Source organism: Homo sapiens, chromosome 8 (genome assembly GCF_000001405.40).
Source record: "Homo sapiens chromosome 8, GRCh38.p14 Primary Assembly".
Taxonomy (NCBI): domain Eukaryota; kingdom Metazoa; phylum Chordata; class Mammalia; order Primates; family Hominidae; genus Homo; species Homo sapiens.
The window spans coordinates 32,542,492-32,568,719 of NC_000008.11; the positions used below are offsets into that span (position 1 = coordinate 32,542,492).

General features: G+C 40.7%; 1 protein-coding gene across 22 annotated transcripts in view; it reads left to right on the forward strand.

Moving 5' to 3' along the window:
- Nucleotides 1-26,228, forward strand: part of NRG1 (neuregulin 1) — a 1,134,802-nt gene that overhangs the window by 903,247 nt on the left and 205,327 nt on the right. For 12 of the 22 annotated variants that reach the window (NM_013960.5, NM_013964.5, NM_013956.5 and 9 more), the window contains exon 1: nt 5,820-6,335. The exons of the other annotated variants lie outside the window; for them this stretch is intronic. In NM_013960.5, coding sequence (NP_039254.1) covers nt 6,236-6,335 — 100 coding nt within the window. In that variant the 5' untranslated portion in view covers nt 5,820-6,235. Of the gene's footprint in view, nt 1-5,819; nt 6,336-26,228 lie in introns of those variants that run through there. 22 annotated transcript variants of the gene reach the window in all.

Here is a 26,228-nt window from a genome sequence, read left to right on the forward strand (position 1 = left end):
AAAGGTAAGGAAAAGCTTTTCCAAGCAACTGAATTTCCCTTGAAGCCTGAATGTTAAGTGGAATTAGGCAAAGTGTGGTGGTTGTGGGAAAATTCAGGCAGAGGATATAGCTAGTGCAAAGGCTCTAAGGCTGCAAAGGATGCAAGCTATGCAGGCATGGTGCAAGGAGGCCTTTGTGCAGGAAGCAAAGGGAGATAAGGCTGGGGTGACCCACAGCCTCCTTCTTCAAGGGCACTGGATAGACTCCTGGGAAGCAAAAAGTGACTGGATTAAATTTGCATTTCAAAAAGACTCTTCTGACTACAGTATGTGGCAAGATAATTGGGTGAAGCAATAGTCCAGGTGGAAAGCTTTATTACAGTCAAAACAAAAAAGGATGAAGACTTGGATTGGGGTGGTACTTAGTGAAGAGGCATAAAAGAAGACTGAAGTCAAAATGACAGGACTTGGGGATGGGTGGGCCACAGAAAGAAGGTGTCAAAATGATTGTCACAGTAGGTAATTAGTCATTGATTGATAGAAAATGGTAATCACTGAACTAGGCTTTTTATCTTCATTCTGTTCTATTTAGGTTCATTCTATCCAAAGTATTTAGTGCTTACCAGATGCAAAGTACAGTTAGGAATTCTAATGGATAGAAATATAAAATAAATGGATACAAGGTTATATAATCTCTGCCTTTTATAGGCTTATATTCAAATACAGACAATGCTTTCCATTTCCAGTAAAGGGAATGAGAAATTATATACCCAGATACATATATATTGACACACAAATAAACAGATGTATACACATGTATGTCTACATATGTATATATGTATGTACACATATGCATATATAAGTATATATATATTTGCATCATATACACATCTAAATTAAGGGTGCATTGCCAGGGGACTGAGGAGGATAAATAATGCAGAGGTCAGAAAAAATAACTGAAAAGTTGTGTGGGATGGTATTCTTCTTATAAGAAATTCAAATGTTTTCAAAAATGATTGTCTTATATATCTGCCTTATTACAGAAGAAATGTATGACGTTGGCCCTGTTTATCAGGGCCAGAAGAAGAAATTCAGCAATAGTATTTAGCAGTATTAACAATTTTAATCCATGATATCAGTCATGACACTACAATCCTGACAGTAATCTTATTAATAGTAATGATAAATAATAGTAATCATTAGTATGTAGTAATTTTTAAAAGTCACACAAGCAGAAAAACATAAACATAGATTTGATTTTAATGTTGTTTGAACATTGCCTTTTAGCATTTTTCTTTGAATTCTAAGCTCATAATTTTATCATAAAACTGTCTTTACAGCAGACAATGACTAATTAGTAATTCTATTAAATATTTGCCAAATGGAGGGTACCACTTCTAGTTTTGCCAGAGTGTCTTGCTGGTCAGAAGTGCTTTGCCTAATAAACTCAACATGCATGTTGATGCTAAGAGTCTAACTGAACACACAGGACAATCGCAAATCTGTGAATTATTAAGCCTCCTTTCACCTCAATTTCCTCCCTCATAGGATGGTCTTTGCTTATCTCAGTTTTGTGTGTATTCCTTTTGATTGCTTGTTAATGTCTCCTATTTATAGTGATATTATGTAACAGTATTATTTAATCTCCAAAATAGTATACAATTGTCAAGTACCATTGCTGTAATTATGGTGCAGATGTTGGAATATGCTTGGAATCACTAAAAGTGAATTTACCATAAGCTAAGGAAGCTTACTCTTCAGGGACTCTGACTTGCAAGAGCCTATTTAATTTCTTATTACCTAAATTTGTAAGTTTAATTTTGCAGTATTTTTCTTTTAAAAGATCCCCCAAATTTTATGAGCTTCATTTCCAGAAAACTCATCTGGCCTTGTTTTTCATATTGTATTGTCATATTTAATTTGTTTTTATGCCTTTCTCACAATATTTTAGGTTCATGAGATCAGAGACAGTATTTTATTTGTTTCTCTACTGCCTAGCTTATTATTTATTTATTTATTTATTTATTTATTTATTTATTTATTTATTGTTATGAGACAGGGTCTCACTGTCACCCAGGCTGGAGTGCAGTGGCACATTTATGGCTTACTGCAGCCTCAACCTCCCAGGGCTCAGGTGATCCTCCCACCTCAACCTCCCAGTAGCTGGGACTACAGGGGAGCACCACTACACCTGGCTAATTTTTGTATCTTTTTTTTTTTTTTTTTTTTTTTTGTAGAGACAGGATTTCCTCATGTTGCCCAGGCTGGTCTTGAACTCCTGGGCTCAAGCAATCCACTCATCTCAGCCTCTGAAAGTGTAAGAATTACAGGCATGAGCCACCATGCCCGGCCTGTCTATCACTTAGTTCAGTAAATGCTTGGTGAATGAATGAATCATATACATTTAGTGGTTGTTTTGAAGTTGACTCTGCTGAGTGAGATTTTCTTTGCATTCATGCATCTTCATTAATGTCAACTTTGTTGCAGTTTTTAAAAAAGTAATCTTTGTTTACATTATCTTAAGTTACTTGATTTAAAAAAGTTAAAAGTGACTATTTGCAGAATTCTAAAGTCCCATTACTGTCAACATGCATAATATTTTGCCAAAAATGCAATTTGTCTTGTTAGTCTTCTTTAATTTTTCCATGTTTTAAAACTTTTCTTGGAGTATTTCCCAAATGGGATTTACTGAGAGGATATATTCAGCCAGCTTTGTAGATTCTAAGAGTCCTTCTAAAAGTTAAGTCTAGCCAAGGAAAAATGTAGTGGCACACGATTGCGTTTCTCTTACGCTGTCATTTAATGTGAGATCTAAATTTTGCATTTCTTTAATGCCCAAGGTGTTTATTTTTTAAAATCTGTACTCTTTTTATCAGGAGTTATGTTGACAATTTACCTGGGAGCTGATATACCCTATATAATACATGATCTAAGACCTGAACAATACACAAATTAATAAAATTAAACCATTAAGATATGTCATCATTTCTAAATTATACAATTGGGTTTTTTTTTTAAAGCAAAAATATTCTTCCTCTTTTCTCCATCCCTTGTTCTGGTCAGTTCCAAGGTTTTTTACAAATGCAAAAGAAATTCATTTGCTACTCCTGACCACAGAGATGAATAATTTAAGGACAATATCAAATTCTTGATAAATCTCATAAATGTTTTAACTGTCCAAGAAATGGACATTTATTTGGTTAATCTTTTAGCTGGCCATAAATAATGTAATAAAACCCCTTAAAATTAACATTAAATAACATAAAGACCTAACGATTTTTAGAAAAAAACCTTTTTGGACTGAGCCTTGAATTTCCTGAGAATTCAGCTACAAGTGATAACTAAAATGTAACTCGAGAATCTGGATATGGTTCCAGAAAGGATTGTTGTCATGCAATTGCCATTTCATCATCTTTCCTTAAAGTCCCTTCAATATTTATCATTGCAATTTTTGTCCTGTCTTTTCCCCTCCATCACATCAAACCAAGGAAAAACAATTATTAAATGCTCATTTATACTCACCTCCCTCCCTTCATATTCATTCATTCCTCAGCCCTAAAATTCCTGTAGGAATCCTGCTTTTACGTTTTATCTTAAAGCCACCATAGTATCTGTAATCTCTTTTGTAGTCATGTATGCTTAATTTTGGAAGACTGTCAACTACCTCTTCAGGTTCATTCAAATGAAAATGTATCACAAAATCGTAGGCTCTTCCCCTATCTCACTGAAAAATTACTCTAAAAATGACCAGTAAGCTGTTTTGTTGAAGCAAAACATCCAGACCCTAAACAAAAGTAGCAGAATTACAACATTTCCATAGAAATGGATTTTGAGCTTCTTTTTTTTAATTGGGGAAAATCTTATTTTTTAAAAAAGAATCCCAGAATACATCTTTGCTTTCAGTCCTTCAATTCTAACATAATGCCATGTTAGAGAATATGTGGTAGTGTATACTAAGCCCTTATGCTGTCTCACATCCTTGGGACAAAATATCTGTTTTGAAAGGACTTCTCTGAATTTTGCTATTTCCTGCTTACTGAGCAGTGGCCCCCTCCTGGGAAAACAGAGTTATTTCAGCCAGTGTTCAGACTCCATCTTGCATACGTCTCTGTGGAATATTAATAGTGCTACTGAGATATATTCATCATCTTTTCTCTGCTTTTGCTGTCTTTATAGCCCAGTGAAATTTATATTTGGTGTTTGTAGGAAGGCTATCAGAAGCTACTTGGACATCAAACTTTTAAACTATAAATAATGATGGCAAGACTGCTAGGATATCTTTCCACAGTTAAACCCATTCAACAGAGTTTCGTTCTTATGACAGTGCAAATTAAACTAGAATAAAATTAGTGTGATTTTAGGACAGTTTTAAAGTGAACATATTTCCCTCCCTCCCTTCCCATCTACATATCAAGGAGACACTCCAGACTGCACTTTTATTTAAATTGCGGCCATCAGAAAATACCGTGAGAAGGTAGTGTGTAGGTAATGGTTCAGTTAGCATTGACCCCAGAAAATGGAAAACCAAGAGCAAGTCACTTTTAAAGTGAAGCAATAGATTTTGAATATGGATTGTTCCAACTCACCACTTCCCGACCACAACACAAGAGTATTTCACTGTAAATTAAGAGTCTAAGTTAACCACAGCTGTGGTATAACTCTGAGAATGTTTTCTCTACATGTAGACAATTCTGGATCCTTCCGTGGTGCCCGTTACCCTGGTCTTTAACTTTTGTCCTTTGCAGGGGAGGGGTCAATGCCTTCTTATTTCCTTGCTCTTTAGAATTCTCCACCAGAGGGAGGACAAGGGAAGGAGTAGGTTTCACGCGCAGTTCTGAGTAAAGTTTGAATCTGAGAAACCCCACATTCACGAATTAAGGATCTCCAGTTCTGTGTCTTTATTCTACCCCTCCCTGCCTGCTTTTCCACTCGGCAGAACTGAGTGACTTTCAGCGGCTGCAGTAATTTTAATTATTCTGAGTCGTGCTCCGAACTATGTTTTTTATCAGTTCCTCTGAAAATTAAGTTGTAGTAAGAGACGTAGTTTAAGGGCACCCCCTTAGAAGAGGCCAGGTTATTTTTTAAGGAAAAGCTGAAGATTTCTAACAGGCACTTACTAAACACACACACACACACACACACACACACACACACACGCACACGGCGCAGACCCAGCAGGAGAGCGCAACCTAGCATCTTTAAGGTTCGCTTAGCCCTTCCTGTGCACCTGGAAGGAAGCCTTATCTTAAACTCCCTTCCACCTAGAGTTTATTTTCGCCTGCGTGCGACAGGGCTTTTGTACTTAAGTGAGTTAAGGAATGAACCCCGAACTCTTCTGGGAAAGCCACCAACGTTCCCCCCGCACCCCTCCCAGGGTTCCTGACCACGGAGACTCTGCTTGGGGCACAGGTGTGGGAGTCGCAAACTTTTCTCTGCGCCGTCCTTTTCCGCGTGGAATGGGACGGAGCAGCCCTCCCAGGCGCTGCCTGGCTGCGGAGGGGAGCGGGCAGCGAGAGCCTCGGGTCTCCGCCTGGGTTCCCGGGTCTCCGGGGCGCTGGCCTCGGTCTCCGCGCAGCGTCCAGCGACCCCTGTCGGGGGTTCCCGGCAGCCGCGCCGCCACCCCCCGCCCGGCCAGCGCGGGAGGAAAAGGGGCTGCGCCCGGGAGCGCCGAGCCCAGGCTCCTCCCGGTGGCGTGTCCGCGCCTCGGGGTGGGGGTGTGGTGGGGAAGAGGGAGGGGGCGAGGCCAGGGGAGGGTGCGAAGGAGGCGCCTGCCTCCAACCTGCGGGCGGGAGGTGGGTGGCTGCGGGGCAATTGAAAAAGAGCCGGCGAGGAGTTCCCCGAAACTTGTTGGAACTCCGGGCTCGCGCGGAGGCCAGGAGCTGAGCGGCGGCGGCTGCCGGACGATGGGAGCGTGAGCAGGACGGTGATAACCTCTCCCCGATCGGGTTGCGAGGGCGCCGGGCAGAGGCCAGGACGCGAGCCGCCAGCGGTGGGACCCATCGACGACTTCCCGGGGCGACAGGAGCAGCCCCGAGAGCCAGGGCGAGCGCCCGTTCCAGGTGGCCGGACCGCCCGCCGCGTCCGCGCCGCGCTCCCTGCAGGCAACGGGAGACGCCCCCGCGCAGCGCGAGCGCCTCAGCGCGGCCGCTCGCTCTCCCCCTCGAGGGACAAACTTTTCCCAAACCCGATCCGAGCCCTTGGACCAAACTCGCCTGCGCCGAGAGCCGTCCGCGTAGAGCGCTCCGTCTCCGGCGAGATGTCCGAGCGCAAAGAAGGCAGAGGCAAAGGGAAGGGCAAGAAGAAGGAGCGAGGCTCCGGCAAGAAGCCGGAGTCCGCGGCGGGCAGCCAGAGCCCAGGTGGGTGCGCAGCGCGGCCCGGGCCCCACGATCCTCCTCCTGCTCCTCCTACTCCTCCTCCTCCTCGGATGCCGTGGCCTCTCCCTCCCCCTCTCCCTCGCCCGTCCTCTTCGCCCTGCGCTCTGAGCGCCCGTTGAGTCGCGCGGTGCTTCCCCTCCTGGGGGCCGCCGCTCACCTGGGCGCCGAGTCCTACCGGGCGCCTACGCCCAGAGCTCAGGGCAAGGGACAGCAGTCCCGGCCGCACCCTCCCAGAGTCCCGGGAGCGCTTCGCTCCCTGGCACGGCCCCTCCCCAGCGCCTTAGCGGCTGAGCCCAGCCCGGGAGTGGGACCTGGGCTATAGGAGTCGAGGCTGCGTGCGCGCGTGCCCCGCGCCATAAGCGCTTTGCACGGGGGCCGTGTGCCCTCTAGCGGGAAACGCTGGAATGGGCCGCCTGGAGGGAGAGCCGGTCCCCTCGGTGTGCCTGGCAGCGCAGAAGTGGGTGGTCGAGCAAGAGGCCGCGTGGGAAGTTAGCTTCGGCGTTTTGGGGCACAGGGCAAGCGATGTAGAGTGCGCGCCGGTTCATCTTGATTCAGTCCTGTGCTACGGAGACTCAAGAGCAGCGGCAGGGATTCCTAAAGGTCAGCGAAGCAGATGAAATCTAGTCCAGTGTCAGGAATCAGCTCTGCCCCAAACAAGTTCTACAAACTTTTGGCTTAACAGTTCTATTTTTCAAGACCTCTGTGATAAATATGGATAATTTACTTTCCCAAGAGATGTAAGAAAACAACCGTTTATCTGAATTTTTGAACCCAATTGTTTGCTGGTTATCTATATAATAAAATGGCAATTGAAGCTTTCTAGAAACAAATCTTGTATTTCATCATCAGAACACGAGCATGAACAAAAGCTTTACCTTAGATGTCCCTAGGAAGCGCTGATGCTTTGGACATTACCTTGGACAAAAGAGGCATGTCGAATAAATACTTGTTTATGAGTGATTGGTAGGTAGCTGATAAAAGAGGGGAGGAAGGAGATGGGGGAGAATTTATTTTTTGCCTCTGCAATTCCCAATTATTAATTGATCCAGATGCCTTAAGTCGCTTCGAGCGTACCCCCAACACACATTTCATGAAGCACTTCTGCAGAATTAATTCACTAGTACTTGATAATACTGTGGCTACAGTAATACTGTAGAAGTATTTGTCCCTTGCTGGAAGAAAACAAACCACATTTGCTTGGTCTTCTTACTGGTATCACTGATAGCATTTCAGAACCTGGGTTATTGGCAGAGACCTTCAGCAGAGTTTTGAGCAAAACAGAAATTGAACAGAGAGTAATTGTTTCACCACTGGCCATTCTTGTGCTTGCTTCTTTAATAAGATCCTGCTGATCATATTCACTTCAATTACTGATCATTGCCCCTCATGAGGGTGTATTGAATTTTCCCTTATTTTTACCCTATATTTTGGGGAGAGACCATAGCACTTTATTCAACAAGATAGGAAATTGGGGAGCTGGATTAGTTACCTCCCTGCGTGACTTTGTCTACTGTCCTTTCTAAGGTCATCATAGTACATTACGGAGATTTCAGACCTAGCTCAAATCGTTGTAAAGAGTTATTTTGGGGGCTCTTATCACTGTTTGTGGTTGTGTTCTCCTGTCTCCCTGCTCATTGGCTTCAGAAGAAGTTTCTGTGGTCCTCTGTAGATGGTCTAATGAATTAAGAAGGGGCCAGCGGTCTGAAGTAGCATCCTGTTCAGGTAATAGGTGTGCATTTTGTCAAGGGCTCCCAGCAGCAGTACCGTAACACAGCAACTTGACAAGTTCAGTGGGGGAGGGGCAGGCATTTCTGTGCCCTCCAGATCTCATCTACTAGGTAGGCAGCTGTCTTGTGATTAGCTACGCTCTCTTGACACAGAGCACCAGAGCTTCCTTGGTGGCTCTCATCTGCTTTCCAGTGGTACAGCAGTGATTCCCTGTAAACCAGCTAAGTCAGTATCTTTAAGTGACATTTGCTTAACTGTCTTCCCTGAAAAATTGGGGTGAATTTGGCTGTAGGTTAGTTTTTAGTATATTTGTCTCTGTTTTCCACCAGATTATAATCTTTTTTGGGGAGGGACTTTTTACCCCCTTCGAAGCATCTTGTGCTTTTTAAACCAGATAAGAATATGTATTCTTTATTTGATTCAGAAAGAATGGTCAACAACTTGAAACCAGCTTTATATAGAAGCACATGGCATTAAATACAATGCTTCAGAATCAGTGTTTCTTTCCTTCTTTGTCATTTTCCTTATAATGGTAAGTGCCAGTGTAGTTTTCCTTGTCTTAGGAGAATTCATACCTGATGACTATAATGGTTTGTGAGAAAAACCCACACTCTAGGTTTCAGGCATTCCCAAAGGAACGACCTATAGATGCCATAACTCTAGTATTCACACTTGCCGTGCCAGCCCAAATTAGGACTTAGGAGGACAAGTTTCTCTTGTATTGCTCCCATCTTAGTGCCTGTCAGTTCCAAGTTTCACTCCTTTCTTAAAACAGCCACTGCAACTGTCTGTCCTTGATGATATGTATGCAATAGCCAAGCCTCTCTTCAGCTGTTTTAACATTGCCTCATGACAGTCAGGGGAGAGATAATGGGGTGGGATCTCAGCCACTCAGCCCCGCTGTGTGCTATATTGTACGCATAGGCATAAACACATCTGTTGGAGGGAAATTTTCAGGGGGAAAAGGCTTCTTTAACTTTCATATGGCATGAGTGACTGATATGCGATACATACATGGCTATTTCAGAGCATCTGCACTTTTATACAATTAACTAAATGTTGAATTGCACACTATTGGGGCTGCAGATGTTCAACACAATTATCTATTCCATAATAATAGCTCTAATAGGTCCCAAGCCCTTGGAGTCATTGATTCCTTTTCTTTGCTCAAAATAAGCAAGCTAAGAATAGTCTTGGGTGCTGTATCACTGATCCACGTACCAAGAGCCCTGTAACAGCCTGGGTCTCCTTGGTGCTGGACCTCCCATATCCAGCCTCTTCATACTGATTCAGCTCAACAGACTTTTTCTCTTGAAGCCTGAATTACAAAACCAGAGCTTTTTTTTTTTTTTTTTTTTGACGGAGTCTCGCTCTGTCGCCAGGCTGGAGTGCAGTGGGTGCAATCTCGGCTCACTGCAACCTCTGCCTCCTGGGTTCAAGTGATTCCCCTGCCTCAGACTTTTGAGTAGCTGGGACTACAGGTGTGCGCCACCATGCCCAGCTAATTTTTGTATTTTTAGTAGAGACAGGGTTTCACCATGTTGGCCAGGATGGTGTCGATCTCTTGACCTCGCAATCCACATGCCTCGGCCTCCCAAAGTGCTGGGATTACGGGCATGAGCCACGGCGCTTGGCCGCTTTTTTTTTTTTTTTTTTTAATTTTTGGCCAATTGGTATTTGACTCTAAGCTTCCTTTGTGATTCTCTGTCGATATGTTGTTCTTACTCTGCACCTCTGCACGGAATTCTGTCTTTTTTCTTTTTCCTCTTAAATAACCTGGGAAAAATTCACTATCATGCCTAGCCAGATTCTAGAACTATCCTGTCTCCCTTCACTCCTGGTAGGAGGGGCATTTGTGAGTCTGGGTGATGGAAACATTGAGAAACCTAGTATCCCAAATAGGTAGAAGCAGGCTGTGTGTTTCCCCAATGACATCACCCACCTGTTTCCCTCACTAAGTGGCTCTGCAGGCTGAAGTGCTTGTAAACATTCTTGCGTATAAAGTACCCTGACCCTAACGGGGCAGCCTGTGTTTACAGAACAAGAGGAATGTCCAGTGATCTGTTTCAACCTGGTTACTTGTAACCACCTAGCCTATGTAATTATTAAAAACATTAAAGATTATTCACAGAATGAAATAGGACTTATTTTGCAGAATTAAAATAGCAGGAAGAGCGGAAGAAAGTTGTATATTCAGACATGAATACTTCTCATACCCATGAAATGGTCAGATAACACTAATGAAAAAGAGGAGAAAAAATATATATAGAGAACCAAAAAATATTAGACAAACATGAACACTGAATACCTACTACATGCCAGGCACTGTGCTGGACACTTTTATGTTTATTAATGAGGGACCTGCTATTTATTGAATTCTTACCATGTTCCAGGCAGTAAAACAGATGTATATTGTGTATTTTGTCATCCGTCCTTTCGAAAATAAGAAAATTCCTTGCTATTAGGCAGCAAGATGCCAGATGGCCTAGTCCTTAGCTCTTCAGCCAGATTGCCTGGGTTTAAATCCTAATTAGGCTGTTCCTTAAATATGTAGTCATGGGAAAGTTACTTAATCTTTCTGTGCCTAAATTTCCTTTTTCTGCAATATGGGGATAATAATACTATTATTATTATCATGAGGGTTTCATGAAGCTTAAAGGAAATAATCCATGAAAAGCACTCTGAACATCAACCAACATGTAATAAGTGCCCAGTAATATTAGCTGTCTTTATAAAACTACTTAAGAAATGAATTATCTGTGTCTTTGCAAAGATATTTGATATAATTTCCAAAATTTACCTTTTATGGTAAAAAATATCCAAAGCTGACCTCAGATTACAGTGGTTATAAATATTAATATGTACTACCTGTAAAACTAGAGAAAAGTGGATAAGAGTGTCAAATTCCATAACTGCATATATACATTATGAAAACAGTACTGAACTCAATCTAAATATTGAAAGTAGAGTGAGGTGCAACATAATTTTATCTCTGGCAGAAAAATGTTGAGGTTTCAAGCTATGAGAAGATTTTGAAACATGACTCTTTTTTCTGGCAACACTTAAGAGTTGATGCTTAAACCTCACTTTATTGTATAGAATACATAATCTTCTCTTTTGGGACTCGTATAAATTGCAGCAATTGAAAAACAAAAGTGTGCACCAACCTGCCCCTCACTATCTTTTTATCAAGCATAACAGTATATTGCCAGCAATGTTCATAGAATTGAGTGCAGGTGTTTCTAAATATAAACAAAATAAGGAATATATTAAATTCACATTTCTAGTTTTTTATTTCCTCCTCAGCCTTCCTAGAATGGCTATAGGTAGTGTTTAAAGTTCTGGAAGTGTGATAGATTCTTACCAAATCAATGTTCTGTTAGCATTCTCCAAGTAACAAGTTAAATTGGATTTGAACAGTACTGATAGTTTATCATGTTCTGTTAGGATAGATGAAAACAAACCAAATGCCAGTATTTTGGGTGAGTCACTTTATTTGCTCAAAGACGCAAATGAATGAACTTCTGGTAGTTTAGTTAACCCTGGAGCTCCCCCTCTTGACAAATAGAAAAAACAAAAAAATAAATCAGATAGTATTAGCTTGAAAACGGATTTCTTTTACCCAGATAAAAAATATGCCACTAAGGTACATACAATGAAGTTTTCTTGAAGGAACTAATGATATTTTGGATTTCTCCTAATTTTGTGCATGTCTGCACTTGTGTGTGTCCTTGTGTATGTTTTAATGGGTTAAAAAAAAAAGCGAGCTACCAAAATACCAATAGATGTCAGTGTTTGTCGCTTTAGAAAAAGTGAGGTGTTAGAAAAAAAGAAGAAATGGACAGCTTTATTTATTTTTGGTTTTACTAAACATAAAGCTGGCTACTTTTCAACAATTGACTAATAATTCACTGTATATAACCCTGTTTACAAAAGTACATTTTATTAAGGAAAATATTCCATGTTCTCATCTTTCTTCTAAATTTTTTTAAAAAAGCCTCTGCAGTAAATTCCCAAAAGAATTCAGAATGTAGGCAGAAAATATGTTAATTTTTTAAAATTAGGAAACAAAATTATTTGAGAATGTCGTTAACACATTAGATTTCTTTTGCATTTTTAAACTAGAAATTAGATATGCACTTTCTTATGTTGCCCTGATTATGACTGATAAAGTGCATTTTTCAGTCCAAGTCAAGTGAGATCTGTGGAGTTCTGCCTCTACATAAGAGCAGAGATGATCAGAATTCTCTTCATTCTTCCTATGCCCCATGTCACCTTTTTCTGGCCTCCAGAGGGTGCTCCAGGAGCATCACACTGCTATTCCCCAAAGACTGCTTTTTTCTTCTCTCTCTCTCTCTTTTTTTTTTTAAGTTACTGCAGTATTCTGGGCAATCTACTGGAAGAACAGAGTCCCGATTCCATACATGTTAGCTGCCTCAACTGGAGTTTGTTTTCCAGCTGGACCACATAGCCCTAATTCATTAAGTATTCTAAATTAGAATATTTTAAAACATTATTCTGATGATGTTGATGCAGTGGTTAGCTTGCAAGGGGACATCTGTCAGATTAATTCCCTCTAGGAATTTCCCCCAAGAGAATCAAGCATCTTTAAATACCTTCCAATCACGCCTTACAACAGCTCCCTCCCACTGAAGTGCACATGGTACCCACAAAGAGATTTAGTGCTATTTAAGAGTTTCACTCTGGCATTGGAAAACTATAGGTGAAAGCATCAAAGTTGGACAACAGATCTTTACTAACACATTTGTTTTCATCTCTTCCTATCTCTCTGTTTCCTCAACCCAGGGGCAACAAATGTTTAGGAGCCCCACTTTGATTGAGTGCACATTTTTGAACACAGGTTTGAGTGACTAATTCTTGTGGATCATGGGCTGATTTTATTTATGTACTTTTTTTGAGACGGAGTCTCACTGTGTCACCCAGGCTGGAGTGCAGTGGTGCCATCTCGACTCACTGCAAGCTCCGCCTCCCGGGTTCACGCCATTCTCCTGCCTCAGCCTCCCGAGTAGCTGGGACTACAGGCGCCCACCACCACGCCCGGCTGATTTTTTGTATTTCTAGTAGAGACGGGGTTTCACCGTGTTAGCCAGGATGGTCTCCATCTCCTGACCTCGTGATCCGCCCGCCTTGGCCTCCCAAAGTGCTGGGATTACAGGCGTGAGCCACCGCGCCCGGCGGGGCTGATATTTTAATATGGTCACACAGGCCTTGTTATTTATGGTTTACCTGCTTATGTTAATTCCACCCTGTACTTGTTATCTTTGACATGAGTTACTCTCAGGATATTACTCCCCTTCCCTTTTTAAAGTGTAATATTGTTCCCATTGTTTCTTGCTCCAAGAAATCTGTCGTTGATGGGAATAGTCTTTGACTGCCACAGTGCCCCGAACCTTTCATTCCACAGCTTTGATGGGCAGGGAGCTGCCTTCTCTGGGCAGCTGTGGAGTTTTACTTTCAATGATATGAGAGTCACAGAATGTTTTATTAGATTGAATCATATGAAATTGTCAGTTTTGTAGGTCATACCTGGCTGAATATTGTCCATGTCATACAGTTTAATATTTGGACTTTGAAAAAGTAATTTGACTTTACTTATTCTTTACATATTCTTTAAGTAATAATGACAACTTTGAAAAAGAATTATGTACGTTTTTGATAATTAAATAGGATTGAAGTAATACATAAAAGAAATCTGAGCTAGGGATAATTGAAGCAGTAACATTTTTTACAACCAATAAATCAGCTAAAATCATATCCATATTAAATGAATTTAGCATAAAATTAGAATGACAGAGCAACTAGCATTTTCCCTTGGTGAGAAAAGTAGTAAGTTTCCACCATAAAATATGACTCATTTTTATTTGACCTATTAGCAGATAGTTGTTATTGCACCTTATCTTAACCACCATTATTTCTACAGAGAGATTACAGAGCAATGAGTAGGAAATATGGAAGATTGCTGAATAATCCTGGCTTTAGTTATGGAGTAATATGAAAAAAGGAAAAGAAAACCTTTTGTTCACTTTCACAGTACTACATCAATGCAAGCTTTTTAGTAGTTTTAATGTATGAATTTTATCATCAGGTGAAAATGCATCTCATTATTAGATGGCCTATTTTATAAATAAAGTTCAAATTTCGATATAGCCAGTTTTTAAAACTGTATATGTTTATAACTCATCCCTTTGTTGCATATAATCTCCCAATTTTAGAGACTTACATTGCATTTTTAAAGGATAGCACAGTCTCTTTAGCAATCCCACAGGGAATCTAAAACCAGCCTTTACAAGGAGATGTCAAAATTCCAATTTGCAGTGATATTTTTGTCAAAACAAGTAACGTGTGTTATTACGTATAGTAAGTTAACACAATTTTTCATTTGTGTATCAAGTAGGCATTGGTTTTTGTTTTTTGGTTTTTGGTTTTTTTTGAGACTAAGTCTTGCTCTGTCACCCAGGCTGGAGTGCAGTGGTGCGATCTCAGCTCACTGCAAGCTCCCCCCACTGGGTTCATGCCATTCTCCTGCCTCAGCCTCCCAAGTAGCTGAGACTACAGGCGCCTGCCACCACACCCAGCTAATTTTTTTCGTATTTTTAGTAGAGACGGTGTTTCACTGTGTTAGCCAGGATGGTCTCGATCTCCTGACCTTGTGATTAACCCACCTCGGCCTCCCAAAGTGCTGGGATTACAGGCATGAGCCACTGCGCCCAGCAAGTAGGCATTGTTTTTGTGTGTACGTATCAAATCTGTTTTTATATCTTTTGGTATTTTATCTCTTTTCTGCCAACAGGGTGAAATGGAAGTACAGTATTGGGATTATGCACAACATTTTATTGTTTAAAATTATAGTATTCCTTTTCCATTCTGTTGTTTCAGTTGTTTAAAAATAAGTAACAAAAGAGAGGGGTCTGTCTTGAAGCCCATGAGATGGTAGATCTTTAGAAACAGTTATAATAGCAGTCATATTGAAACTGATTGTCATCTATTTCTGGGAAAAATATTGAAGGCTGGTATATTGTCCCCAGAAGGATTAGATGAAATACAGAAAATAGATTATGATTATAATTTTTTTTAGTGAGGTCACCTTGCTGTAGAGTTGGAACCTTCCCGGGGGATTGCTCATGCATTATCCATTTTGGGAAAGAGTAATACTTACAGGCATTATGGAAATGAGCGGGTAGGTTTGTCAAGAGGAAACCAATAATTTGAATACTGAGTTGAATGGAAAATGAAATACATGATTTTCCATATATTAAATTGAATAGAAATGGGAGACTTATGTCTTGAGGGTTTTTCTTTTCTTTTTTTGAAACATGTTGATGATATTGTGTGTTCCCAAGTGCCCTCAACCTGACAGGAAGGAGAAATGTCAATAGAAATAGTTACTTATTATATTTTGATATTTAGAAAGGAACAGTGGAGTTTTAAATGTTGTGCATATCATTTATGCCCCATCCAAAAGGATAGCGATCCACTTAAAAGAAGGCAGAAAAGACAAGGACCGCTATCGTTCTCCAGGAATCAACAGAAGCTAAGGGAGAGCGTAGAGTATAGTCCCTGTGGCCTCTACGGAGTCATCGCCTTCTCAGACTGAATCCACACAAGGCCGCCTTGACTGAAAGAGCCTCTACATTGGACTGTGCATGGCGTGGGGAAATGTGATTACTTGCAATATGCTACTGATTACAGAATAAATATTATGCATTCGGTTTTCACTAAACTTAAAAAGCCCAGTGAAAACCCCACTTCTGCATGTGGTGAATGTGGTTATGCTGTGTCAGGTGAAGACATGTTTCAGTGCCTTCGTTTACTTTCCATTAAGATATGCTGATTTCCTTCTCCCTTATGAAATAGAAAAGGAAGGACATAACCATCCTGCTGCTCTGCCCTGAGTGCACCAGTATAGGAATAAAACTCTGTAAACAGAGGGTGGTGGCAACCATCTAACAGGGACCTGCATTTGGACCTGTGTGTTTGGGAGAGCCGCAAAGTGGCTGTGCCTCTGATATCACAGGACTCTATGAAAGAGGCAACCAAAGAAGACCTGAGGCTCTTCTTGTCATTTTAGATATGTGATTTCATAAAGTTACTCTTGACCTTAATGCAGATGGCCATTTGGGATTTGTGTCTGTGCATTTCATCCACAGCTGGATGGCATAGTTGCTGAGTAATCCTGTTGCTCTGGAGCAATGTAAGTTACAGCTGTGGCCAGGCACGTGGCTCATGCCTGTAATCCCAACACTTTGGGAAGCCAAAGTGGGAGATCTCTTGAACTCAGGGATTCAAGACCAGCCTGGGCAACACAGGAGTCCTCATCTCTACTAAAAATCCAAAAAGTTAGCCGGGCAAGGTGGCATGTGCCTGTGGTCCAGCTGTTAAGGAGGGTGAGATGGGAGGATCACTTGAGCCCAGGAGGTTGAGGCTGTGGTGGGCAATTATGATACACCACTGCACTCCAGTCTAGGTGACAGTGTAAGACTTGTCTCAGCGAAAAAAAAAAAAAAAAAAAAAGTTAACAACCATATCAAAAGAACAATTTATTCACCCCCCAAATTGTCTTGGAATTCTCACATTAATTTACAGAGAGAAATAACCCTTTGGAAAATTCACAATGTTTTGCTAGTATTAGTATGTCATCTCACTCTAAAATGTAAAAAAAAAAAAAAAAAATCACTACTCAGACCTTATAAGAATCTGGTTTTTGATTATGAATACAGCAATTCTTTTTTGAAAACTCCCTTGACAAATTAAGCCAATGGTGGACATTCTAATAATTGTCATATTTTATGGTACATTTGTAACTAAAAGCCTCTTCTTTGGGTAATGACTGATAGTTTCATGGAAGAAGTCATTCTTTTTCTGGTCACTCTAGAAAATAAGAAATGGGAAATGATTGTATGTGATATACATATGCATGGTTCTAAGTACCAAATTTGCAGATTGCCTGAAAATGTTCTTATGTACTTTTTATGGATACAGGCTTTCTTTTCAATTAGATTCAAAAAGTATCAATACATTATTATACTTTAAATTGACTAGAGCTACCTTTTAAATGGTCAGATAGGTTTTCTTTTTAAAGAATTACTTTTGTGATTACTAGCCACCTGAAATGGTGTTTCAAGGCCATGCATGGTGCCTCATACTTGTATTCCCAGCACTTTGAGGGGCTGAGGTGGGAGCATCGCTTGAGCTCGAGTTCAAGACCAGCCTGGGCAACATGGCAAAAATCTGTCTCTACAAAAAAATACAAAAAAAAAAAAGAAAGAAAAAGAAAAACCATTAGCCAGGCATGGTGGGATGCACCTGTAGTCCCATCTACTTGGGAGGCTGAGGCAGAAGGATCACTTGAGCTCTCAGAGGTTGCAGTGAGCTGGAATCGTGACACCACACTCCAGGCTGGGTGACAGAGTGAGACCCTGTGTCAAAATAAAATAAAATAAGATATAAATGAAATAGTATTTTCAAGACTTGGTATAAATGCATAGCTGTTAAGCTGTAAGGACATCAATAAATGTTCATAAATAGGTAACTTTCTACATTCTATCACCTTATTTTCTATAATACAGAAAATATACTTTAAATTATTTTATTTATCTGAGTCCTTTTATTCTTTTTGCTTTTTTTTTTGTTTGCAAGACCAAAGTCAGAGCAATTTCAATTCTATTTTGAGCATTTTATTTTGGCACTCATGTATTTTAATTAAAAAAAATAAATAAACCATTGTCCTCAGCCAGAAGAATTTTCTGCTGAGTGGTCATAAATGCAGAGTTTAGCATTTCACATCTCTAGAATGTAAAAGCCACAAAGTCATATCTGTCTTTTATGTTGTCATATCACCAGGTGCCATCATGGTGCTGAGAACATAGTCTTTGTTTTTAAGAATTTATTCAGTAACTGACTGAATGAGGAAGTATGGCTAGTTTGCTTAAGACATTGAGTTGTAGGAGTTGATGGGTAGCAGTTTAGTTATTATGCTACTGTCAGTTAATAAGAAAGTATGAGTGCAATTCAGCAGTATCAGTGATGCATGGATTTGTTCCTAAATTGTTATTTTTGTGGTTGAAATTTGCACTGTTTATTTTGAAGCTCTCTGTGTAAGTCATAATCAGTGCTTAATTATTCAGACTAATGAATTGGAATTAGAGGTTTGCTCAGTCCACAATTCTTGCTACCATTAAAATATTTTGTTACATTTGTTTTTGAGTACATAGAAGCAACTAAGAAATGGATTAAGATGCTGCAGTTAATCTTTGTAAATTACTATGGCCATTGCCTGGCACCTAATGTTTGCTATGTTAAGAGTTTGTTATATGAATAAACGACCGCTGTTCCTGGTAGGTAATGAAAGTAATCTTAAACAATATTAGTACTGCCTAAAAAGTAAGGTCTTAAATATAACTACAGTAGTCCTGAGAAAAATCATAGAGTGTTAGAACTGAAAAGGTTGTCTTAGAGGTCATCTGCTCGAATCTCATCTTTTTAGTTGAGGAAAACCACAAGGTACAAACAACAAGGGCATCAATCCTAGCACTAGAACCCAGATCTCCAGATTTCAGGGTAAGGATTTTAATTATTACCATGCTATACTTTCAGTCTCAAGATGGCACTATATATGAATTCAGCTTCACTTTTATAGTGCTTTGGGTGTTATTATGCTTCCAGATAAGAGAGATGTATTTCTGTGCCATTGAGGAATAGCTTAGAGTACCTATGATTCATAGGAATTTGAAGGCTGTAAATCAACCGAATCTTTATATCTTTTTGTTCCTTCTTGCAGTATCTTGTACCCAAGTAGCTTCAATAAATTTTGACTGACAAGATGACCATAAAATAAGTAGTCCTAATGTCATAACATGGAAAAGGAGGGTAATGGGTGTGTGTGTGAATGTGAATTAGTATAGTATAGTAATGAGCTGCCTCAGCGCTCTTAAACTTTTTTTAGCACCAATGCCTTTATGCAGGAAACTCTGAAAACAAGCAAGAGATCTTTGTGGGCTCTCTGTAAATTATGTGCATGCAAAAAAGCATCCTCAGTGCTTGTCCCTTGACAGCTGCTCTGAGACCACTGAGTCACTCGCTTGCATCTGTGAGCCACTGACCAGTCACTGATTGCAGTGACAGTTTATCACTAACAACCTGAATTATCTTTGACCCAGAGACCCAGGGGTCAAAGGCCTCCTAGTCCATTATTAAATTTCCAGGGCAGTAGTTCAGTTTGCATTAGGGGATTTGTTTATATTTATTTATTTAGGGTTTTTGGGGGGTGGGGGGTGGAGGAGCTTGGGGGAATGAGACCTGCAGTTATTTTCCCCACATTATAAGATTATTTAGTCCTTTATTTGTGGGATTTGGCATCCTAAAAGAAAGGAAGACTCAAAGTATTGTGGTTCTGGTCTGGGCCTCACATGGGTGTCCTAAAGATTTCTGGGACCCATTTATGGGAAGAATGCCACTCTACAGATTATAGCAGGGAGGAGCTTTGCCCTCAGGAAGACACAGATCCTTTGAGGGTGGTAGAGACTCCTAAAGTCTGCTGATTCATACCCAGCTGGCCCCATTAACAAGAGAATTAAAGAGTGGCTAGAAAGGGACTGAAGAGTTCACTGGGGGCCCATCCAAAAAGCTGGGGGTACAGACAACTGCTGATTCCCAGCCAGTCATGGATTTTATTTTGAGACAGGTCTCGTTTGGTCGCCCAGGCTGGAGTGCAATAGTGTGATCATAGCTCACTGTAGCCTGGGACTCCTGGGCTCTAGTGATCCTCCCACCTTAACCTCCCAAGTAGCTGGGACTACAGGCATATACCACCATGCTCGGTTATTTTTTTTTTAATTTTGTAGAGATGGGGTCTTGCTATGCTGCCCAAGCTGGTCTAGAACTTCTGGGCTCAAGGAGTCCTTCCACCTTGGCCTCCCAAAGTGCTGGGATTATAGGCATGAACCACTGTGCCTGGCTTGCCAGTGATGGATTCAAAGTCGCCTCTGGGTTGTAACCAGGAAGCATGCCTGGGCCAGACTGAGAGGGCTGAAGGATGACGGCATGGTTTCAGTGTGTGAGTGTGCATGTATGTACGTGTGTGTGAGAATGTGGGTAAGTGTGTGAGCCTGTAAAAGTGTATCATGAGTAGCTGTCTCTTGGGAGGAGAGGGAATCAGGAACCTTGGTCAAATAACACCATGTACTGGCATGGAAAGGCACTGTTCTGGGCAGCAGTCAAGAAGACAGAGGAGGACTAACTGTATATGATTTGGGCAATCATTTAAAGTATCTGGGATTTATTTCCTTGTCTAATAATTAGCAAGGTTGATGTAGATGAGGTATAACAACTTTAGGGGTAGAAGAAAGCTATGATTCAAAGTCGGCATTTTATTAGATCAGTGGTCTCTGATTTGGTGTGATGTGTTCCTGGTATGTTTTCGCTTAGAACAAGGTTGTTTAACCCATGGCCCATGGGCTTCATGCATCCTAGGACAGCTTTGAATGTGGCCCAACACAAATTTGTAAACTTTCTTAAAACATTATGAGCTTTTTTGTGATTATTTTTTCCAGTTCATCAGCTGTCATTAGTGTTAGTGTATTTTATATGTGGCCCAAGATAATTCTTCTTCCAATGTGGCCCAGGGAAGCCAAAATATTGGCTCACTTAGAGTCTTTAGTAGTGACTATGTTTTTAGAAAGCCTAAGGTATTTGAAGAATAATAGTCACATAAAGTCTAGGCAAATAGCAAATTTGTTTTATGTAGGAAACAGCTTATCTTCTATAGAATAACTTTTGATGGGTGAAATTGTAGTGTTAATTTATCTTAGTGAACACCTAGAAGATTTGTTTAGGTATGTGAATTGTTTAGTGAAAATGTAGAAGATGGTAAGTATATTTGGGAATTACTAGTGCAGAAGCCTTTTATTAAATTCTCAATAGAAACTGGGTACTGGTTATGAATTGTGATCTCTCAGATACCTTTAACTTAGTCGTCTCTCATGAGTATGTGATACAATTGAAGTTGTGGGATTTAACCTCTGCTGAGCAGCAGAAAGATATGAAGCAGTGGAAAATACAGGCTAAACAGAGCCTTTCAGAATAATTTTTCCTCAGTGGTTTATGTTCTTCACATTCAGTTTTTATTCTTCTCCATCCTTAACTTTCTATAGCTGATACTTCCATTTTGGATATAGGCTCTGTTTCATTTCCAGAGGTATCTCTTTCCCTAAACTCATCAAGTACTTTTTCAACCTTGTTGATCATCTTAACAGAAGAATCGTAACATTAAGTTGATTTATGACACCATATCTCTGTAGTAACTCTGAATTGTCATCAAGCTATTCATTGAAAGGATACCTCTTAAACTTTCTATTACTAAGATCCCCAAATGTATCTATTCTCCTCTCGATAAAATGAGTATTGTCTTAGACAAGCAGCAGACTGCTTTTTAAGTGAAGTGGATTAAGCTGCTGTGATCGTCCCTGTGAATGTGTATGATAAATCATTTTGATGGCCTTTTTAAATCAGAGTCACCGAGTCCCACACAGAGAAACAGAGAATGCTGTCTGTCATTATTACAATAATAATTAAGCGTTGGCTGATAGGATATAAAGTATAAATCAAAGATCTTAGAGGAAATAGATGAAAGAAAAGCTTTGTTTCTCAAAAACTTAATCTAAAAGAAGAAATATTGAGCAAGCATTGGGTGCTTCATGAATGGCCTAAAAATATATTTAAGTCTATCACCTGGAGGTTCGTTCATTTATTGCCAGGAAAGAATCAATCCCACTTTTTTTTCTCTTTCCCTGTGGCTCAACTCCAGGAAGGTGTTTTAATTGATTGGTGGGAAGATTTTAACACAGACAAAACTTATAAGCTAAGCATCATTATTTCTAGTACAGTGGCTTCACCACATTATAGGGTAATAAAGTTAAAAGCTGCCGATTGTTTCAGAATTATTTTCAGAAATTTACATCCTCTTTATTCCTATTACCTTGAGAAAGAGTTCAGAGAATGGGCTTAGTCAGCATGCAATTATGGTATTAGATAAAGCATACAGTTTGGTCTAAAACCAAGATGCAGCTAGTCTCATCAGGGTACTTTAATCAATCAAGGGTTGTTAAGAAGGTAGGAATGTCAGTCTAACTTCATTCCTTTGAAGGTGATCAGCCTTTCTTCTCTGGAGGCTTTGAAGATTTTGTCCTATGGCTGGGCGTGGTGGCTCACGCTTATAATCCCAGCACTTTGGGAGGCTGAGGCAGGAGGATTACTTGAGCTCAGGAGTTTGAAACCAGCCTGGGCAACATAGAAAAACACCATCTTCCTCTCCCCACTACCAAAAAAAAAAGTTAGCCAGTTATAATGGTGCACATGTGTAGTACCAGCTACTTGGGAGGCTGAGGTGGGAGGATTGCTGGAGCCCAGGAGTTTGAGGGTACAGTGAACCATGATCATATCACTGCACTGCAGCCAGGGTGACAGAGAAAGACCCAGTCTCAAAAAAAAATTGTTCTCCAACAAATCTTTTTTGAAGTTATGGCATTTAACCCTGCCCACCATTCCCATTCCCCTGTCAGTTTCACTATCATGCATTCCTTTTTCTTTATCCCACTCAGGACCATTGGGCTTGTCAAACATATAAATTGGCTTTCAGGAAAATTCTTCTCCATATCTCTTAAAAATTTCCTGTATCCCATTCTCTTCCCTCTTTTTGGAATTTTCTTTTTCTATAATTTAAAGATAGAGTCTTGCTGTTTTCTAGGCTGCTCTCAAACTCCTGACCTCAAGCGATCCTTCTACTTTGGCCTCCCAGTGTTGGGATTATAGGTGTGAACCATTATGCCCGGTCTAGAACTTTAACTAAAAGTACGTTGGACCTTCTTTCTCTGAACACTGGTTCTTTTTACTTCCCTCACGTTTCCCATCATTTTGTTTCACTCTCCCGCTGTATCTCTTTTGAAGTTATCTTCCCCTTCACTCATTGACTCTTCAGCTATGTGCGGTCTGCTGCCAAAACCATCCATGAAGTTTTTCATTTCAAGGACTGTTTTCCCCCCTAAACCTAGCAGTTTTATTTGGTGCCTTTTCAAACCTTCTATGTTGTATTTTATATTTTCAAGGTCCCTGTAGATATTTTTCAGGTTGTTATTTATTTCTTTTAGCAGAGTAAGCCTAGTTGTTTCATAATTTCTGTGTGGTAATTTCAGTTTGTGTTGGTTCTCACTCTCTATGCCTTGGTTCCTTCTGTGCTTGATGGTTGGTCTCTGACCCTGTGTTGGCCATTGCTCTGTAAAAATTATCTGTGTCATTCCTCAAGGCATGGGATAGAAGCACATTCCTGCCGAGAAGGTAAGTGTTACTGCTGGGTACTTGGAAACTTACCGAGTTCGTGGCTTGAGGTTCTGTGGCCTACCAGCCTGTGCACACCTAGGCATGTAGAAACCTGTCGGTAGACTCAGCTTTTCCCTCTGGCTGAACTCAGGATCAAGACAATGTGTCTGGCCGGACACGGTGGCTCATGCCTGTAATCCCAGCACTTTGGGAGGCCAAGGAGACGGGTGGATCACCTGAGGTCAGGAGTTCGTGACCAGCCTGACCAACATGGCGAAACCCCATCTCTACTAAAAATACAAAAATTAGCCGGGCCTGGTGGTGGGTGCCAATAATCCCAGCTACTTGGGAGGCTGAGGCAAGAGAATTGCTTGAACCTGGGAGGGGGAGGTTGCAGTGAGCCGAGATCACACCACTTCACTCCAGCCACAGAACATCTCAAAAAAAAAAAAAAAAAGACAGCATGTCTTTAGTTCTCTGGGGCTAAATGGGTATGTTTAGATTTGGTGTAGCTTTTTTGGGGTTCTTTACTCCTTTTGGGGTCCCAGCTTAATGTGAAGAGGGTCTACTCTAAGACTCCCCACTTCAGGAAGATCCTGGAGCCTCTATCCCTTTCTCCAGGATGAGCAAATGCACTTGAAGAAAAAGTAGTTGCTTTGTCCAGGTATTTTGCGTCTATCTCTAAGGTTTGAGATTTGCCTTAGAATTTGTCCAAAAAATGATCTTTTTTGTCAAATTCTTTTAAGGTGATGTTTATTATATTTCATTCAGCACTTTTAATTGTTTCCAGCCAGGAGGTTCTTGTGAGAAACTTACCTTCCAGGAATGGAAGAGGAATCATTAGTCATTAAGGAGCTAAAAATGTTAGGAAAATATTAATGCTTCAGAAACAATTTGTTGATCTGAAGAGTACCTAAGTTAGGGATTTTCAGAAAGTAGCATTTTGTTTTGTTTTGTTTTGTTTTGTTTGAGACATGGTCTTGCTCTGTGGCCCAGGCTGAAATGCAGTGGCGCGATCTCAGCTCACTACAACCTCCACAAACGATTCTGTTGCCTCAGCCTCCTGAGTAGCTGGGATTATAAGCAGGCACCACCACACCCGGCTAATTTTTGTATTTTTCGTAGAGACGGGGTTTCACCATATTGGCCAGGCTGGTCTTGAACTCCTGGCCTCAAGTGCCCACCTCGGCCTCCCAAAGTGCTGGGATTACAGGCATGAGCCACTGCACCTGGCCAGTAGCATTCTTTGGATGAATTGACTCTGGTTTTGTTAGCCTTCAGAATCTAAGGAAGTTTATATCTGGTCAATTTTGAGAAAGAAGATCTCTAAGAAATGCCTCAAGTGGGGAAGGGATGGACTTTATAAACCAAAATGTCAATGTGTTAATCCTAAATATCTCAATGAAATGGGGCAAAATATGGCTAAGAAAAATTTGACAAGGTGTAAATCTCACTGAATGCAGTTGCTGTGGTTGCTACCAAGTTTACAAGAGAAGAAACCAGGTTTTGCCAATGCATCAAAAATTAGATTAAAAAAGAAATTTCTCTGGCCTAGTCTGATGCTTAGCCTTCAAGAGTAAAATGATGTGTTGTTAGATGACTTGACCAAAGTCCCATAGCCAAGGCAGGGAGAGTGTTGCAGCCTGGTGGTCCATTATCTGATGCCACTGGATCTATGTAGATGAGTTTGGAACTTCACTTTCTGCCTTGTCTGGGACGTAAAAACTTTGGGTGCCCCTCACTTCTTTTTTATATAAACTGTTGTGTTTTATTGCCCTGGCACTCTTAAGTTGCTGTTTCACCCTAGCAGTGCCTGCTTCAAGCCATCACCAATGAAAGTGCCTTTGAAGTGTCTTAAGGCGTGTGCATTGCCTAGACAAATAGTTGGCAGAAGAGGTCAACACAAGCGTCTTTGCTTTGGAGTGTCAATTGAAGAAATTGTTTTTCCACTTGAATTGGCAGTGTGTGCTCTTACTGCTGTTAGAGTTCTGGGCAGAGAAGTAGATGTGATAATTATGAAGGGAGAAGGGGGAAGAACAGCTGCAGAATGCAGGGAAGTGACTGGACTCCAGTAATCATATTTGGCAGGTCAAGGGTGAGATTTAGCCTGATGGGATTTGGACCATTCCCTGGGCTAGAAAGTAGTGTTAAAATCAACTCCAGGTGTTTCCGTTATTCTTAAGGCCTAAGTATTATTAAAGCAGAAAATAATATGGTTAGGATATGAATGGGAGGGGATTGGTCATTCGCTGCTTGGGAATCACTTATTTGCAATAGAGCTCATTCTCTCTTGACAGTTGCTCCTACATGTCTAAAATACACCATAAATCTCGAAGTGCTCGTTTCAATATTGAAGTTTCCTCCAAGTGAGCTGTTATCACTTTTGTCTTCAAGAGAATGCTAACTCACTGAATCTCTTTGAGCTTTTTATGCTTTACACTGTGGATTTTGGAGTTTGCTTTGGTTTTTCCACTAGTTCTTTAAGTTAAATTTAGGTAAAGAAATTTAAAATCATCAGGCTTATTCTTAAAAACTCAAGTATTATCAAATGATGGATGATAGAGATATGCTTTGGGAATATATCCAAGTACTTCAAATGATAGAAGTTAGAACACCAGGAGACATTTAGTAAGAGATTCTTCTGCTGGGTGAAATCAACATCAACATCACCTGGAAACTCGTGGGTAGTGCAAATCCCCTGGCCTCACCCCAGAGCTCCTGGAATGAAGCTGTCCGGGATAGGGCCCGGCATCCTGTGTTTTAATAAGCTGTTTGTGGGATTCTAATGTTCGCCAAAGTTTTAGGATCATGCCTGCA